The 19810-nt window shown below is 36.2% G+C and overlaps 1 protein-coding gene across 9 annotated transcripts in view; it reads right to left on the bottom strand.

Moving 5' to 3' along the window:
* The window catches only part of KCNQ5 (potassium voltage-gated channel subfamily Q member 5), a 576790-nt gene that overhangs the window by 418672 nt on the left and 138308 nt on the right, over window positions 1-19810 (bottom strand). The window lies entirely within an intron of this gene.

The following is a 19810-nucleotide window of genomic DNA, read 5'->3' as shown; positions in this document are numbered from 1 at the left end:
TTGGGGTAATAAATGTACCTACCTACTGTGGTTTGTGGTAATGTTTGCAATGCATAATGCCAAGAACATAGTAAAGAATACTTAATAAATGCCTTTAACTAAATAGTGGTAGTTGAGTACAACTGAAAAATTATGCAAGACTATAGATTGTTGCTGATCCCAATTAAGAATCTCCCACTCATGGCTCAGCATGGTGGCTCATGCCTGTAATCCCAGCACTTTGGGATGCCCAGCTGGGAGGACAGCTTGAAACTAGGAGTTTGAGACCAGCCTGGGCAATAGAGGGAGACCCCATCTTTACACACACACACACACACACACACACACACACACACACACACACACACACACACACACACAGAAAATTAAATTAGCTGGGCATGGTGACTCGTGCCTGTGGTCCCAGCTACTAGGGAAGCTGAGGTGGTAGTATCCCTTGAGCCTGGGAGGTCCAAGCTGTAGTGAGCCATTCTTGTGCCACTGCACTCCAGCCTGGGTAACAGAATCACACCTCGTCTGAAAACAAAAAACAAAATGCCAAAAGAACCCTCCCGCTTAGTTTAATCTTCTTATTTTTTTCCTCGGTAATTCCTTTGCCTACTCTCCTCAGTCTTCATCCAAATACTCACTGCTCTCCTAGAACTCCACCTAACCTTATTCTCAGCAGATTACCTTACCTCTTACTAGGAAAAAAAAATGAATAAGTAAATAAATAACAGTCAAGTATGAACTCTTTCAACTCCCTTCTGTCCCACCACTCTCTCTGAGAGACATACACACATTCTCACAAACTTGTCTACATATTCATTTATGATGGCTTGCTTCCTTCCTTTCTGGGCCTGAAAAAGAAATATCCCTATCATCCTTTGACTGTTGAATGCCAGCCCCCATTCTGTGTGCCTATGACCCTGGCCTGGGCCTCTCCTTCTTCCTCCAGGACTCTGCCTCATAATGCCCTCTCTTGTCAACACCAGCTTTCTAGGGGGGCATCCTTCCCTGTAGCCTACAAATATACTAAGCATCTCATCCCAAATCAAACAGACAAGATCAAGAGTCTCCCACGGCTCTGCTCCTAAACTTTTTCTTGCCTTTCTCCTTCCAATTTCATCCACACTTTCAAAGAACAGTGTGGAAAAGCAGTCTCAACTTCTTCACTCACATACTCCTCAATCCACCTTACTGCAACTAAAGACAAGCACTACAGTGAAATCACTTCACTAAAGTTACCTTTGTCCTCTTCATTACCAAATTTAATGAATATCTTTACAAAAGCTATTTATAGTGGCACCTCTTCTATATTCAATACAATTGATCACTTTGTTTTGAAAACTATTTGAACTTCTGTGCTCTGGGATACAACTCTCTTCTAGTTTCTCTGATACATTTCTGACTGTGCTGTTGATTTTTTTAAAATTTTTTTCTCCAGTTTTATTGAGGTTGAATTGACAAATATAAATTGTATTTATTTACACTGCACAACATGATGTTTTCGTATACATACACATTGTGAAATTATTACCACAATCAAGCTAATTAACATATCTATCATCTCACATAGTTACCTTTTTTTTTGTGGTGGGAATATTTAAAATCTATTCTTTTAGCAGTTTTCAAGTATACAGTATATTCTTTTTTTTTTTTCTGTGACAGGGTCTTGCTGTGTCTCCCAGGCTGGAGTGCAGTGGCGTGATCTCTGCTCATTGCAGTCCCCTCCTCTGGGGGTCAAGCGACCCCCACCACCTCAGCTTCCCGAGTAGCTGGAACCACAGGTAAGTGCCACCATGCCCGGCTAATTTTTATATTTTTTGGTAGAGATGGGGTTTTGTCAGGTTACCCAGGCAGGTCTCAAACTCCTGAGCTCAAGTGATCTGCCTGTCTCCACTTCCCAAAGTACTGGGATTAGAGGCGTGAGCCACTGCGCCTGGCCTGTATACAGTACATGCTTATGTTACTGTAGTCATCATATTATGCAATAGATTTCTAAAACCTATAAATTCTTCATTGAATTTTCTACTAGAGAGCTGTACTTCAAGTGCTGGTGACCCTGTGACCTTCATCTTTGGCCTGACATTCTTCCCACTTTTCCACTTATGCTAGAGACTCTCCTTGAAAAATGGCATCCACGTTCATGTTTTTCTCTTACCGTGACCTTTGACTTTCAAATTGCATGCCTTCCTTGAGTTTCAGAGTTGATTATCCTACTGCCAACTGATTTTCTCTAACTGAATATTCTACAGGCATTTGAAGTTTAGCTTTTTTAACGGTGAACTGATTATATTTTCTCTTGATCCTCTTCATACATTCTCTTTTATAGGCAGCACAATCACCCACAGTCAAGGCCTAATGGAGGGTGTGTCGGGGCAGAGATTCAAGATGATGGCCTCTATGGGGTATACCTGAAATTTAGGGCAGGCTCTGTAGCCTAGGAGTAAAGACAAAAGCCTTGGAAGCAAATTATCTTGGCTCTTCAAAGAATCACCTCTGTGGTTCCTCTTGATTATATGTGTGTAGGGCAAGAAGGTACCTTTTGACCTAGGATAAGACCAAAAGGATATGAGTTTTGTTGTTGTTGTTTAAATGCTTATCGAAAACTGTTTCACTTGCTGATATTCAGAGCTGCTTCCTAGGGTGGAGGTGGAAAAATGTGTAAACGTAGCTCGGGGCTAATGTGTGCTTCTTGTGATTTGAAGTTCCAAAGATCTGTGGTATAGACTAGGAGTCTAGCTCAAGACTCCTCGGCCAACACCTTCAACCACCCACTCCACTTACCCCACCCCCATCCAACTAATCGCAAATCATTTTTCTTAAATATTTATTGACTCCACCTCCCCTGCTGCATATTTATCACCACTTTTCTAAACCAACTGTTTACCATCCGTCCTTTGAGTGCTATAGTAACCTCTTTGATAGGGTTCCCAGTAATGTCTTGTCCTTCTCGAATCTAACTTCCACTAAGCCATCTGAGTGGCCAAACTAAAATTCAAAACCTTGCAATAACTTTCTATTTCTTACATGATAAAGACTTAGCTCATTAAATGGCACAAAATCCTCTCCAGGATCTAGCATTGTTGGTTTCATCCATCTCAGCTCCCTGCTTACACTATTCTGCAGTTCCTGGAAGCTGGATGGAGCTCTTCACAACACATTATTTCCCTTTCCCTCTTTTACCTCTGGCTTATGTGATCTGTTTTGCTTGGAATGTCTGTTCCGGCCTCCTCATCAGTGTAAATCCCACCCATCTTCCAAAGGCTCAGGTGATGCCTGAGTTGTATCAAATGAACCTGTTCCTTCATTTCATGGCACCCTGGCCTCATGTCTGCTGGCTTGTTTCTACGCTGTACTGTATTCATCTATTTATTTTTCTGCCTCTCCCTGTCCCTGCCTCCTCCACCTGAAGGATAAATTCTCACTAATTTTTATATCTCTTGCACCTATCACAGTGCTTGAAACATAATAAATACTCTGTAAATGCTCACTCAACTGAATAAGTGAATTCCAGCTCTCCCACAAATTTATTATGACCTTGGGCAAGTCTCAAATTCTCTGGCACTCAGTTATTTCATGTGAAGTTAAGGAGCTGAACTAATCTCTTAAATGTCCCTTTCAGTTCCAACATTCTATGATGCTTGTATTATATTTGTTGAAAGAGTGTAATGGAGTGAAAGTTAATTTTTAATAGTCCATAATTACTAACAAAAAAATTCCCTATTTCATCACTCATCTCTTCTGCATGAAGTTTGATATATAAAGAGTTGAACTTAAAATATCTCTAAGTAATTGTTCATAAAGCTCCTACCTTAATGTGTTGGAGTAAACAGAAGTAATTCACATTCATAAAGTTTAATGACTAGAAATCTATTTAAATTTGTAGAAAAAACAAAGAATAATTCCTACATTATAAATGGCTATTGGGTTATGCAACTATTCCTTGTTTTCTACCTATATATTCTGTTATTGTTAATAACTTGATGTTGGAGAGCACGCTTCCCAGTTGCGGTGTAACACAGTGCCTACTCTATGAATTGTTTATTATTTTAAATACACTTTTAATTTTGGAATAATTTTAGATTTACAGAAAACTTGCAAAGATAGTACAGAAAGTTCTAGTACATCCTGTACTAAGTTCCCCTATTGCTAACATATTACATTAGTAGGGTACCTGTGTCATAATTAATGAACCAATATTGATACATTATTAAAGTCCATACTTTATTCAGATTTCCTTAGTTTTTACCTCATATCATTTTTTCTGTTCTAGGATCCCATCCAGGATACTGCACTACATTTAGATTTCGTGTCTCCTAGGATATTCTTGGCTCTGACAAGTTCTCAGGCTTTCCTTGTTTTGGATGACCTTGACAGTTTTGAGGAGTACAGATGAGCTATTTTGTGGAATGTCCCTCAATGTGGGCATGTCTGATGTTACCATGATGGGACTGGGGTTATGGGTTTTGGGGAGGAAGACCACAGATGTAAAGTGCCATTCTCATCACATCATGCCAAGGCTGCATATTGTCAAATGACTTATGAGTGATGATGTCGACCGCAATCACCTGGCTGAGGTAACGTTTGCCAGCCTTCTCCACTGTAAAGTTATTTTTCTCCCCTCCTGTCCATATTGTGGAAGTCATTATGTGCAGCCTGCCCTTAAAAGGCAGAGGTATGTTCCAGCTCCATGGGGGTTATCTACATAAATTATTTGGAGCTTTCTGCATGGCAAATGTGTCTCTTCTCCTTCACTGATTAATTTATTCAATCACTTATTTGTATCAGTATAGGCTTATGAATTGTGGGTTATTTTTGAAACACCAAATTTACATTAAATAGAAATAAAAGGAGAACAAAATAAACATAAAGCAGGGAAAGGGACAAAGTGTGTTCATTTGCTTCTGGCTTCTTTCACTCAATATTTTTTGGGGGAGGTGGAGGTAAGGTGACATTCATCCATGTTGTTGCATATAGCTTTAGATTATTCTTATTGCTGTGTAGTATGAATGCATATTATGTAAATATATCACAGTGTCTTTCCATATGTATAGTTGTAGGTCATTCCCACTGCTGTATGCTATTCCTAGTGTGAATATAACACATGTATTTATGTTTCCTTCTGTTGCTGTGCATTGGATAGTTCCCAGGTTGTGACAATATGGATAGTGCCACTATGGACATTCAGGTATATGTCTTTTCATGAACATATGGACACATTTGTGTTGCTACCAAAGAATGAAATTGTTAGATCAAAGGACACCTATGATCACCTCAAGTAGATAATGCAGTTTTCCAAAGGAGTTGTACCCACTGACACAGTCACCAGCAGGGTACAAGTCCCATTTGTTCTGCATCCTTGACAACATTTGGAATTGCCAATCTTTTTCATCTGTGGATACACAGAAGTATGTCATTGACATTTTATTTTTTATTTTACTGATAACTAATTAAGCCGAGAACCTTTTCATGTTTATTGGCCATTTGATATTATCTTTTGTGAAACTTTCATAATTTCCTATTGTTTTTTGCTGTTGGATTGTCTTTGTTCTTATTAATCTGTAGGGTGTGTGTGTGTGTGTGTGTGTTTATATACTGGATATAAATTCTTTGTTGAATATATGTATTTTGAATATCTTCTTTCACCGTGTGGATTGCCTTTTCATAATCTTAACAGTGTCTTTTGATAAACACATTTTTAAATGTTAATGTAATCTAATATAGCACATCTTATTTTTTGGTTTCTACCCTTTGTTTTAGTTTAAGAAATCTTTGCTTACTTGAGCTTCAAAAAGATGTTCTAGAAAAGGGATTGGAAAACTATAGCCTGCAATCCAAACCCAGCCTGTCACCTGTTTTTATAAATAAAGTTTTATTGGAGTTCAGACAGGCTAATCTGCTTATATATTGTTTATGACTTATTTTGTGCTACCATGGAAGAGAGTTGAATAATTGCAACAGAGATTGTAGGATATGCAAAGCCTGAAATATTTAATATTGGGCACTTCAAGAAAAGTTTGCCAACCCCTATTTTAGAAGATTTTGTTTTTAACCTTTACACCTAGATTTGCAATTCATCTAGAATTGATTTTCATGTATGTTGTGATGAAAGAGTCAAGATTCATTTTTTTTTCCATAAGGCTATCCAATTGACCTTGCAGTTCTTGCTGGGGGAAAAAATTATTTTCCCACTGCACCACAGTGTCATCTTTGTCATAAATAAGATGACCAGTAAGCATGGGTCTGCTTCTGGAATCTCTATTCTGTTCCATTGATTTACTGCTATCTAACCTCTCACCAATACTACACTATCTTAAATGCTACAGTTCTATAATAGGTCTTATATTTTGTAATATAAATCCATCTGAAGACATTAGCTGTCCTTTACATTTCCATACACACTTTAGAAAGTTTGATATTGATTTTGCCAAATATTTTAATTGTTAGGGAAGTGAAAAAAAGATTTCCATTTAAAAAAATATATGTTTTCAGGTATGAAAAGAATGCTTCAAACTAAATATAAATTTAACTTTTAAAAACATTTAGACAAGTGAATAGCATCTATATAATATTACCTTTGTTTATTTATTTTTTAATTGTGCTTTAAGTTCTGGGATACATGTGCAGAACGTGTAGGTTTCTTACACAGGTATACACATGCCATGGTGGTTTGCTGCATCCATCAACCCATCATCTACATTAGGTATTTCTCCTAATGCTATCCCTCCCCTAGCTTCCCACCCCCTGACAGGCCCTGGTGTGTGATATTCCCCTCCCTGTGTCCATGTGTTCTCATCGCTCAACTCCCACATATGAGTGAGAACAAGTTTGCTGAGAATGATGGTTTCCAGCTTCATCCATGTCCCTGCACAGGACATGAACTCATCCTTTTTTATGGCTGCGTAGTATTCCATGGTGTATATGTGCCACATTTTCTTTATCCAGTCTATCACTGATGGGCATTTGGGTTGGTTCCATGTCTTTGCTATTGTAAATAGTGCTGCAATAAACATATGTGTGCATGTGTCTTTGTAGTAGAATGATTTATAATCCTTTGGGTATACACCCAGTAATTTGACCCAGTAATGGGATTGCTGGGTCAAATGGTATTTCTAGTTCTAGATCCTTTTGTTTATTGATATATTCAATATAGCGTTTTACAAGGGGCAACACTGATAAGCTAAAATCTAGATTATCCGTGACATGCAAACAAAAGCTGTCCTTAACAATATAGTTTAATTTTAAAATTTCCTGTTAGAGATCTATAAAGAACTATTGCAATTCAGGTGTGGTAGGTGTGCAGACATTATCCTTTCAATAAAAGCTCTTTGGTAGCTTCAGAGTTCTTAGGAGAAAGCTGTAGTTGAACATTTCTCAATGTTTGCAAGTGAGAAAGGGTGGTGCTGTTATTTTTTCTGAACATTGCAGTTCAGTGACATTTTTTAAAAGTAATGTTGTTTTCTTATCCAACAAGCAACAATTGACAGGTTGAGCAAGTAGGAATGCTGCACAGCCCTTCAATACATCTTGTGGGATTTAGTGAATTTTGAGCTAGCTTCGGCTGACATGTTAGATGCATAGCACTTTCCCTACATTCTCTCATTAGAACAACCCCAGATGGAGGCTGGTAAAGGATGGCCATTTCACAAGGTTAACACGTGTTAATGTTGTCAAAATACCTGTTTTTATTTTCACTTCTCTGAAGCTATTTATTTTACCAGAATAGAAAATAAATTTCTCTTCTTAGTGTATAAAGCCACTTGACAATTTATAATGAGTTATATATAAATATTATAACCTGCTGTCCACTCTCTAAAACTTGTTCATTATCATTCTTTTCAACAATTAGCTTTGAGAGTTTCCTCATGGCACTTTGTCATAAAATAGGCTATTAGAGGCTATTGCAATGGTTGATTATAAGTTCAGGTCTACATTGAAATTTTGTATGTGATCTTTTGCATCGATGTATTCTCTGTGTAAGTATTTTAAAAGATATGTAATAGCCTTAAAATTGTAACTGCACTAGAGAAAATGTAAGTCAAGATAGAGAATTTGCTAATTTAGGGCTAAATTTCATAGTGCAATATTTTTCATAAACTCAAAATAATAAAGACACTCAGTGAAAAGTCGGTATCATAAAATATATAAAGTAAGTTCTTAAGGCAAAAAATCAACTTTTTAGGGTTATGAATCATGTTAGAATTTGCTGAAAACCATAGACTATCTCCCCAGAGAAATAAACAAAAGCATGCTTTTTGCATATAATAGTCTAGGGCTTCACGAGGTCCTTGTTCCCTATACGTAAATAACCCAACCATAGATTGCATCCTCTAGTTCCTTGTATCTATCTCCCTAGCTTTTCAACTCACAAGAGCTACTACATAAATCTCTTATCAAAATCACAGAAGTCTTGTTTTAATGAGGCCTGAAAAAAAGTTCCTACTTAGAAATAACATTACCATCAGAAGCCATTTTTATTGCATATATTTAAGGTATAGAACATGATGTTATACACACACACACACACACACACACACACACACAGTGAAATGGTTACTATATTCAAATGTCTTAACATATCCATCATCTCACATAGTTACCCTTTATTGTGTGTGTGGGAAGAGCACCTAAATATGAAAAGGTGCTCTACATCACTAATCAGCAGGGAAATGCAAAGCAAAACCACAATGAACTATAACTTCATATCTGCTGGGATGGCTATTATCAAAAAGACAAGAAATAACAAGTGTTGGTGTGGAGAAAAGGGAATCCTTGTACACTATTGGCTTTTAAATTGCTGAAAAATACTTTGGTTGCCTAATAGGTTGAACATCCTCCCATTCTTCAAGTCCTTTATTCAAAAAATTAAGTTTAATTTAAGTCAAGATATATTTATTGTTATTTTCATAAGTTGGAATAAATGGATACCCTTCCATCTTGTCTGAGCCCTAAATGCCTACTTACTTTTTGAGACCTGCTGTTGTCACTGTCTGCCCCACACCCACCCATTCCCCTCTGCCTGGCCACAGTTAAATCTGCATGCACACAGCAAACCTGTTTCTCTCACTTTCATCCCCACTCACGCTCCAGAAGGCTGCCCACTCCTTTATCTGCTCCTTCACTATATGTGCAACAACTTCTTTCAGTGCACCAAATTTACTGGCATTCTTTGGTTATAATTCCCCGCCCCCTTCCCCCTTCTAGATCGAGGGTCCCTTGAGGGCTGAGAGAATTTCATATTTCTCTCTAAATGTGAAAGCCAATAGAGAGCTTGACACATTAGTGAGCAGTAAAATTTGTGGATGAATAAATAAATGAAGGAATCTTTTCTGCAGTGGTATATTTACTTTGATAAAACTTTTAGGGGCTAATATTACTAATTTATGATTGTATACACAATGGAATCCTTAAGTAGTTTTAGCTTTTCAGCTACAACTGAAAATGATAAAACTAAAATGATATTCGCATGCAAATACTAAATTAGTATTAATAACAGACTAGGAATTTAAATATTTAAAGTCCACAGGCAATACAGCACTCTAAAAGTATGGAAAATAAAATCGGTACACATATATGAATAATGTTTTCTTTCTCGAAATAATTATTGATTTCATACTAAATATTTTTGATTTATAAATGTGTGATTCAGGTCATCTTACAGATTCTGTTTTTAAAAACAAAACTGATTGTTCTGCAGATTATAATATTTACCGTCATTGTATTTTATATCTTTCAAAGATTATAATATTTTGTTTCATTATATTTTATTCTTGTCAAACCCCTGAAATAAATTTACTTGTCAAGCCATCACTGAAACATTTCACCATCATCTACCAATGCTTTATCATCTTTAACACAAAAGCAGAATATGTGAGATGTTTCCCAATGCTTACTGAGGTACCATGTCCATCATCTCAAGAGCTAGACCTACTTGGCCTTTGTCTCTTTCCTCTCTTCCCATTGCTCTCATTTTTGGATTATTGACAACAAAATAATTTCACCTGATATAACTGCCAACATTTTCTAGAATCCATTTCTCCCTAAAATAAATTTCAGTCAAATGAGCCATTAAAATCCATTTTAAAACCATATCTCCCATTTAAGCTTTCTCAACCTGTTGCTTGAGATGGTGTAGAGATGGCTTACTTGCTGTGGACTCTGTTTTTACAGGCTTCTGTTTCTTTTATTGAAAGTTTTAAAACTCAGATCTACTCTAGGCAAGCCCTGTCCAGGAGGGTGTGAGAGAAGGTAAAACACCTGTCAATACACTGCCTAAAAATAGTTCTTAGTCTGGCTGACTTCCCACTTCTATCAAATTAACAGCTGTTGAGTTCTTTGCATCTCCAAAGCCTGATGAACTTTTTATTCTACTTCCCCATCTTGAAACAAACCAAGAGAAAAGCCCAACATTTTAACTTCTTGTCCTTTATACAAAGCTTTGTTTTCAGACAAAGCTATGAAATAAGAAGTTTCAGAAGGTGTAGAATTGCATTTTAGTGGGTTTGTTTTTCCTTCTGTATGTCAGTAGCAGGCAGTCTGCAATGTCCAGAACTCAAGCTTATGAGGCAGTTCTGTGCATTTCTACAGGAAATTGTCAATAATCAGCCCAAAGTTTCTCAACCCTGGCTGCACATGGAATCAGCTACAGAGCTTTAAAAAAAAAAAATCTCTGCTCAGGTACCCCTCCAGATATTCTGATTTAATTGATCTGGGGTGGAGCTTAGACATCGATATTTTATTTTAGAAACTCCACCAGATGATTCTAAGGATTGAAAAATACAGATAGCCCTCATATTTTATGATGTATCTATGATTTTGTATTTGATCATGCTTAGATTTATTTTGATACTTTATTCTATCAAACAATCCAAACATAGCTGTTACCTTAAAAGTATGTATTTTTATTAAGCATACAGCATTAAACATTATATCACATTACTTTCAAAAATTCAAAATTCCTTTTGAAAAGGTGAACAAAACAATATATATGCATTTGTTCTCTATTCATGTATTGGTATGGCATGATATTTCTGTTTTAGAGTCAAAATTATTTAACTCTGTTCTCTTCTGGAGGCTTATCCTTTTCTGATCATTGCATACGTGGAAATAGGAAAAGCAAAGTATCTGAGGAAAGGAGAGTACTACTTGAGGACTTCCGGGCTAGGGCCAAAGATTGGGAGACTCACTATTTGCAGAGTGGCTATTTTTCCATATGATGAAATGCTTCCCTCTCCTCCACTGCAAGAATTGTTGGCTAAAGCCTTACAGATAGCTCCAATTGTGAAGTGGGCAGTGAAATATTTTTAAATGTAAACCATGTTGGATGATCCCAGATTGGGACACGATGAAAGGGAAACAAAAATTGGGTTTTACAATGAAAATAAATTTTTTTACAATGAAAATAAATTTAATACATTAATGCACACGCACACACACACACAGTGGTTTTAAAAATAAGGTAACTATAAAGAAGCCCATTAATTCTCATGAAGTAGATTGTGATATGATAACTGGGGCCACTTATTTTTACCTACTCAGTCTTCCACTTTCCTCCAATTACGTTGAATGAAGGGCCCCATCTCTATCTAAGTTTCATCCGTTTTCCATGTGGACTCATTCTCTCTCAGAGACTTCAATAATTATCCTCTATCTCCCATTTGTACCATCAATTTCTCTTTCTATACTAAAACAGTCACATCAAAAAGCAAAACTGCTCTAAAACAAAGAAAATAAATAACAAAAGTCAACTTTAACCCATTTCCTATCCCATATTCTGTTTGTCTTCAAAGCAAAATTTCTTGAAGAAGCTATCAGAAGTTATCTTCCCTTCCTCACCTTTTCTCTCCTCCATCCATTCCAGTTCGACTTCCCTCCTCAACTCCACCAAGAAGGCTCTCCACCAATTGTTTCCAGGCCACCAAACTCAATAGTCAGTCATCTGGTCTCCTTGTATTCAGCCTCTTTTTAGGTTTCAGCTGACGGTTCCCTCTAAAAGAAATCCTGTACCTTTTAGTAGTCACTGCCCAATTCCTCTTAACTATCTCTGACACATCCCTGCCTCTCACACCACATTTTATTTACCCATTCATTAGTTCATGGACATTTAGGGGCATTTCTACTTTTAGGCTATTATGAACAATGCTTCTATGAACATTAATGTTCAAGTTTTTGTGTGGACATATGTTTTCATTTCTCTTGGATATATGTCTATTAGTGGAATTGCTGGGTCATATGGTAACATTAAATTTAAGCCTTTGAGAAGCTGCCAGTCTGTTTGACTGTTTTCCAAAATTACTGCACCATTTTACATTCCTACCAGCATGTATGAGGGTTCCAGTATTTCCATATCTTCCTCCACATATCATTATCTGCCTTTTTTACTATAGCCATCCTAATTGGGGTGAAGTGGTATCTCATTGTGCTTTTGTTTTGCATTTCACTGATGGCTAACAGTATCAAACATCTTTTCATGTATTACTTGCCATCTGCGTATCTTTTTTGGAGAAACATCTACTTAGATCCTTCACTCATTTGTTAAAATGAAATGTCTTTATACTATTGAGTTGTAAGACTTTCTAATATATTCTGGTTATTATAATCTTATCGGATATGCAATTTGCAAATATTTTCTCCCATTCTGTGGGTTCTCTTTTCACTTTCTTTATGGTGTCTTTTGAAGCACAAAAATTTTTTAACTTTGATGAAATCAAATTTATCTAATTTTTTCTTCTATTGCTGGGTTTTTGGTGTCATATTTAATAATTCTTTCTCAAAACCAAGATTATAATGATTTACTCCTGTGTTTTCTTCTAAGAGCTTTACAGTTTCAGCTCTTACATTTAGGTCTTGATCCATTTTGACTTAATTTTTGTGTATAATGTGAGGTAAGGGTCCAATTTCATTCTTTTTCATGTGGCTATCCAGTTACCCTAACACCATTAACTGATTTCACTCTTGATTTTAAATGTCTATTATGCATTAACAAGTTCATTTGCATTTCTAACAGGTACATTAAATTTAACATACCAAAAGACAACTCTTCATTCCTTTCCTACAAACTTATTGTTGCTCCTTCTCCAGTCTCTCCCAACTCAGTGAATTATACCTATCCACTCGGTTGTTGAAAACAAATTTAGCTATGATTGTTCCTTACCCTGACCCATCAGCAAGTTCTCTTATCTCTATCTTCAAAGCACATTTTAAATTCATTCTCCTCATCTCCTCTTTTCTACCTACCTTCATTTTCTAGGTGATTTCATTTAGTTACATAGCTTAAATACCATCTTTATGCTGTGATGACACACATATATATCTCTAAGTTCATCTTCTACTCTAAACTCTAGCTTTATATATACAACTTTCTACTAGCAAACTCCACAATAGGCATCTCTAACTTAACATGCCCAAATGCAAACATTTGATCCCCAACCTTCCCTTATTGCCCCCAACATACCATATTTTTCCCTCTCATCTCCAGCAAATGGTGCCACCATTTGCTCAATTGTTCAGGACAAAAGCCTTGGAATTTTCTTGGCTCTTTACTCTCATATCCAACATAGAAAGTGTTAGCAAATCCTGCAGGCTCTACCTTCAGATTGTATCTGGAAAATGAACAATTCTTACTACTTCCACTGCTACCAACCTAGGCCAATCCACCATCATCTTTTGCCTGGTTTAGTCCAATAGTCTCCAAATAGGTTCTTCTGCTTCCTTTCTAGTACCGCCATATCCATTATCTTTTTTTCCCACAGTAGCTGGAGTGATTATTTTAAAATACAGATCAGATCAAGTCACTTCCTTTTTCAAAGCCTTCCGATGACTTCCAGTGAATTTAGAACAAAATTCAAAGGCCGTGTTATGGTCTACCCAGCCTTGCATGATTTAGCTTTTAGCTGGCCTCCAGATCTAAACTCTTGCCATTTGTCTCCTACCGAACTGTGCTCCAGCCATAGTGCTGTTATCCCAACTCCTCAAGCACACTCCCATCCTAGGGTCTTCTTGCTATCTCTCTGTCTGAGTCCCTTTTGTCCCAGACAACTGCAATGCTTGCTCCCTCTCTTCATTTAGGTATGAGCAGAAGTCTTCCCTGACCATCCTATCTAAAATTAGACCCATCACTCTTAATTCCCCTTGATTGTCTATATCCTCTACTGAATATAAGCCACATAAAGGCAGTTTCTTTGCTTTTGACCCTTGGTGCATGCCTGATATCTAGAGAGGACTTGGCACACAGTAGATCATTAGTTAATATTTGTTGAAGGCATAAACAGATGAATGAATTAATGTCTTTGTTACTGTCATCCTAGTTGAAGCCACTAGGTCTCTTCTGTAATAATCTCCTAGCAGGTCTCCCAGTTTCCACTCTTGTTTCCTACCTACAGTCTAATCACCATAGAGCATTATGTTTTATATACATACAAATCAGATCAAGTCATTCTTCTGCCTAAAAAGCCACAGTGGTAACTCATCAGGCTTATAATATAATCTAAACAGCTTACCTGTGATATAGGAAGGTTGATATCAGCTGCCTCCTGCCTATTTCTCAGTACATGAATCCACACGTCTGCCTTATTGGTATGTTTCAGCCATACTGATCCTCAAGACCCTCTACATCATTTCTGTCTTAGGACCTTTTTTGATAATATCTGGTCCCTCTTCACAGAACACTCTTATTTCAGTCTTCAAAGTGTTGGCTTATTTTTGATCATTAAGACTTCTGCTTAAATATCACCATGGACTTTCCTGACCACCCAGTGTAAAGTAGACGTTGGTCATTTTGACTCATTGCTCTGTTTTAGCTTTCTGCATGGTCCTTATCTTGATCTGAGATTCTTATTTATTGATTATTGCTTGTATTTCTTCTCCCTCCACCCTGCCCACTGTTCCCCCACAACCAGAATATAAACTCAAGGGATCATGCTGGCAAGAATGTACAGAAAAGGGAACACTTGTACACTGTTGGTGGGAATGTAAATTAGTACAACCACTATGGAAAACAATTCGAAGGATTCTCAAAAAACTAAAAATTGAGCTACCATATGATCCAGAAATCCCACTGCTAGGTGTATACCCAAATGAAATGAAATCAATATATTGAAGAGATATCTGCATTCCTATGTTGTTGCAGCACTGTTTACAACAGCTAAGATTTGGAAGCAACCTAAGTGTTCATCAACAGATGAATGAATAAAGAAAATGCGGTACATATACACAATACAGTATTATTCAGCCATAAAAATGAATGAGATCCAGTCATTTGCAATAACATGGATGGAACTGGAGATCATTATGTGAAGTGAAATAAGCCAGGCACAGAAAGACAAACATTGCATGTTCTCACTCACTTGTTTGGGATCTAAAAATCAAAATAATTGAACTCATGGACATGGAGACTAGAAGGATGGTTACTAAGAGGCTTGCAAGGGTAGTGGGGTGCTGGGGGCAGGGGGAAGTAGGAATGGTTAATGGGTACAAAAAATAGAGAGAATGAATAAGACCTACTATTTGATAGCACAAAAGGATGACTATAGTAAATAATAACAACTGTACATTTTAAAATAACTTTTTAAAGAGTATAACTGGATTGTTTGCAACCCAATGGATAAATGCTTGAGGGGATGGATGTCCCATTCTTCGTGACGTGCTTATTTCACATTGCATGCCTGTATCAAACATCTCATGTACCCCGTAAATATATACACATACTACTTACCCACAAAAATTAAAAATAGAAGAAAAATAAAAAAGGGATCAGGGATTGTGCTTTCCTTGTTCAAAACAGTATTCCTAGCACTTCCCATAGTAGCCAGCACATAGCAGATACTTAATATTTATTTGTCACACCAAATAGTTTATATTCTTTTGTCACCAATTTCTACCTAGTGGGTTAGGGGAATATATTTTGATAAAGTCTCATACAGTTTGTTTGTTGGTTGGTTGGTTTTTATTTTTGTTTTTGTTGTTCCAAATGAGTACAATTTAGAATCGAGCCTAATTTTACAATTAAACTAACAGAGTGTTTTTTTTCATTATTAGATGTCACATATGAACATTTCCCAGTGTTCTAAGTATGACCTTGGCAAATGCAGCCTTTCTAGTGACTTGGCTATGTAGATTTTCTTTCCTTATTCTTGGTAGCTATTATCAAAATAATGATTATAAGACCTTATACTTGCACAGTAACTTAGAGGTACTGAATCATTTTACAAAAGAGAGTACTGGATCTGATCAAAAAAAGTTGTTTTCATTAGTGTTCTATATTGAAATGGAGACAAAAGTGAAAAGGGATTACATACTTTCTCAAGGATACAGGACAACAAAATGGTGGAATCAGAATTCAACCCAGGTTTTTTCTCCCCGAGAAGTCCTGTTTCTTTCCACAACAGCTCATGTTTACCCCTCAAGGGACTACTTGGAAAACATTACTTTGTTCTTTCATGTGTCTTCCTCTTTAGGCTTTCCCTTTCCTTACTTGCCAAACCCTTAACTAGAATATTATGGAATTCAGAGAAAGCCCTGGCTGGAGGCCTCCTTTAGGACAGAAATTACAATAGAAGCCTCAGTCTTGAAATGAACACCTTTGTACTCATAACATAACATTTTCAAATACTAAGGTATTAGAATTGTAAGAATTTACATTCTAAGCATTCAGATATTAAGAATCTTAAGACAATAAAGGGCACCAAGCATGACTTGTAATTGACATTTTATACACTTATGTAAAAGAAGGATTTATGGAGAAACACTGGAAATTTGCAAACTTTTGGGAAATAATATGACAGGAGATGAGTCTATGTGTGGGAGAAAGACGAAAAATAGGTTCTTGAACCTGTAATTTTAACTCCCACACTGTTTCTTTTAAATGTCTACACAGATAGTGTTTATAATAACTCAGCCCTTTAAGGCCAACACATCCTGCCTGTGGGGCTATTAAGCCTGTTTAAAAAATAATTAATGTAAGGCTTGTTAATACCATTCAATATGCTATGGAAGTGACACACCCAGGACCCAGAGTGCTAGCATTTTTTCAGAAAAATAAATATAAAGATATATCTTTATATGAAAGTGAATTTTTATGTTTGTAATAAATAAGTGATGCATTATATGATTCACAGTTTACCCCTAGGTAAACTAAAATCTACCATTTATGGAACAAATTTTTATTTATGAAAACATCCGATTCTGGATAATAGCTTATCAATATAATTGTATAGGTTTCAGTGTGCATGTGTGTGCTTACTACAAGCATTACTAAAATGGCTCAGTGCTGCCCAATTACTATTATATCTTGGGAAGATAAGACTAAATATTTAAATAAGATATAAGTGACAATGATAGGCCAATTTAGTAAATAAAGAGAAAATCTAACTAAAATTGATGATTGTAATATACTTAAATAATTCATGAGATACAGCAGTAAATGTTAGTTATTCAAACAGCAGCAAACAATATATAAGTATTACTTACTCATTTAATCACAACACACTATCATCCTCTTCTCATCTGGACAATAGGCTGTGTTTATTCTAGTACCTAGGAAACACTGCCCAAGCTAAATCAGCTTTCTGGCAGATTACAACAGTATCACATTTTTGGCCATACTACACCACCTTTTCGTCCTGATGTTTTCAAAATCCTTCAGTGTCAAGCATTGTTTAACCATTGTGAAAGCTGATGCCTGGTTAAAATGATACACGATCCACCTCATATAATTAACTCTGCTGTCTTCGATCAAAAAGTGTGTAAGATCTAAACTTAAAACGTATTCTATTTTTTTTTTTAAGTATTCTAAAGTCATTGGCTAGTTGGATGGCAAAGCTGTGTTTAAAACCCAGGCCTGAGTAATTCCCAAACCTACGCTTTTTACACTGGGACCTCCCTCCTCCCTTTTCACCTCCCTTTAGTCTCACAAAACTAAAACCAACAATTTAAAATCTGTAAAGTTAACCACAAAAATGTTATTTCCTGACTGTGATACCCTTTCCTTTCCTTCCCCCCAGATATTTGACGTGATTTTTTGAATTTTTCCTATATGGAATGGTAGCACATATTTCAGATTTACCTGGCACTTCTACTGGAGTTCCCTCTGGGTATAGCGAATGTCTCTTGCAAGTGGGGCTCAGAGAAGGAAAATGTCTCCTGGATATACCCCTAACCCAGCTCTAGCGATAAGATCGCTGTCTGTGAGACCCACAGCTTTTTCTACACAGGCCTCTTAGCCACTACAACAGGAGAAGAAAACCAGATCCTTTCAGCACCAGGCCCTGGATGCTTCCAGATACTATCTAGGAATCTGGGGGACTTCTACGTATCAAAGGTTTGTTTCTAGCCACTACTCCTGCTATCTGGGACTAAGAATATCCTAAAATATGACTCCATGATGTGTTTGGTGAGCTGTAATATTTTAGGGCATTACGTTTCCTCCTCAATCTTTACTTAAAGATGTAAAATACTAAGCAAAAAAATATGCATATTGTAGTTACTGCAAAAACATCTTCTAGAACTATAAGTTAAATGACATTAACCACATGAAGAAATAAAACAAAATGACATATAAAGAATATTTATATTATTTCATAATTATAGAATAATTATAAAAATGGTGACTTTATAAACCTTTATGTTTATATTTATGATGATTAAATATGATTTACATGGAAGTGTTTAGTAGGTTATTAAGAACCATGTACATATGTTAATTATTACTTATAATATGGTTTAGAAAACGCATTATTAGAAAGAAGAAAAAGAATAAAATCAAAGAATAAAGCAATCAAAGTTTTTAAAATAACTATCAATTAATCATTTAACTAGTCATAATCTGAATCTACTGAAATATATGGAAAATACCTTTAGAATTCTATTGTATTCTTGCTTTTTGTAATCTTTAAAAAGATTTAAGTTCTTCTTATCTCTGTATTTGTAAACTGATAAACAGCTAATTATTTTGTTAAAATACTTTCCCCAAAGGTGTTATAATTCAAAAGAAAAGAAATAAGTTCATCATTCTTAGCTCTTAATATTTTTTGAAATTTTAATCTTCCAGCTGAAAGTGAAGAAAATGAAAATTCCTAAGGGTTAACTTCACAATGTCAAATTCTAGGCTGATCATACATCCTTTAATTCTTGGTGCCTCGGAATTGACACATACATCCAAATAAGACACCACCCAAAATGAGAAAATGTAAAAACAGATGACTGTTATCACAGATAAATATATGGGTAAAAATATCATGAAATCTGGCTGTGACCATGGACTCAAAGTAGGAATTTAAAAACTAGCTACAGAACATATAAGCACAGAATGTGAAAGAAGGTGGTACTTTTTTTTCTTAACTAACGCATTCCTTGCGAAAATTTTTTATTAAGTACAGACACTACTGTACTTTCTCTCCTTCAGATAAGTAGAACAGATAAGCAGGTGCCTTTAAGATTTGATTCATCAGTTTTGACAGTAAACACACTCCTACATTATAGAAAATGGGTAGAAGTCTTTTAACCAATAACCAGTGAAAAAATAATACCCGCCCCTTCTAGCCCAGAGGGTTTCCATGGGAATCCTGTCTATATTAGCTTTGGCAGAGACTTATGGCTATTTTTAGAGGTTTTGAAAGCAACTAAAAATGCCTTTCACTTTTATTCCAAAGCTGAACTGTATCTATGTTCATGAACCCCCTCACCCCATGCACAGGCTACGCACAAACAAGTGCACACGTGCACACACACACACACACACACACACACACACACGTACTCCTGAAAAAAACAATTCTATTAGCTTTAACTTGGGTCCAGTTCAAAATCAAAAGCCAAGCCACTGGCTCTC

This window comes from Homo sapiens, chromosome 6 (assembly GCF_000001405.40).
Source record: "Homo sapiens chromosome 6, GRCh38.p14 Primary Assembly".
Taxonomy (NCBI): Eukaryota; Metazoa; Chordata; class Mammalia; order Primates; family Hominidae; genus Homo; species Homo sapiens.
This window is presented reverse-complemented; position numbering and strand designations above follow the sequence as displayed.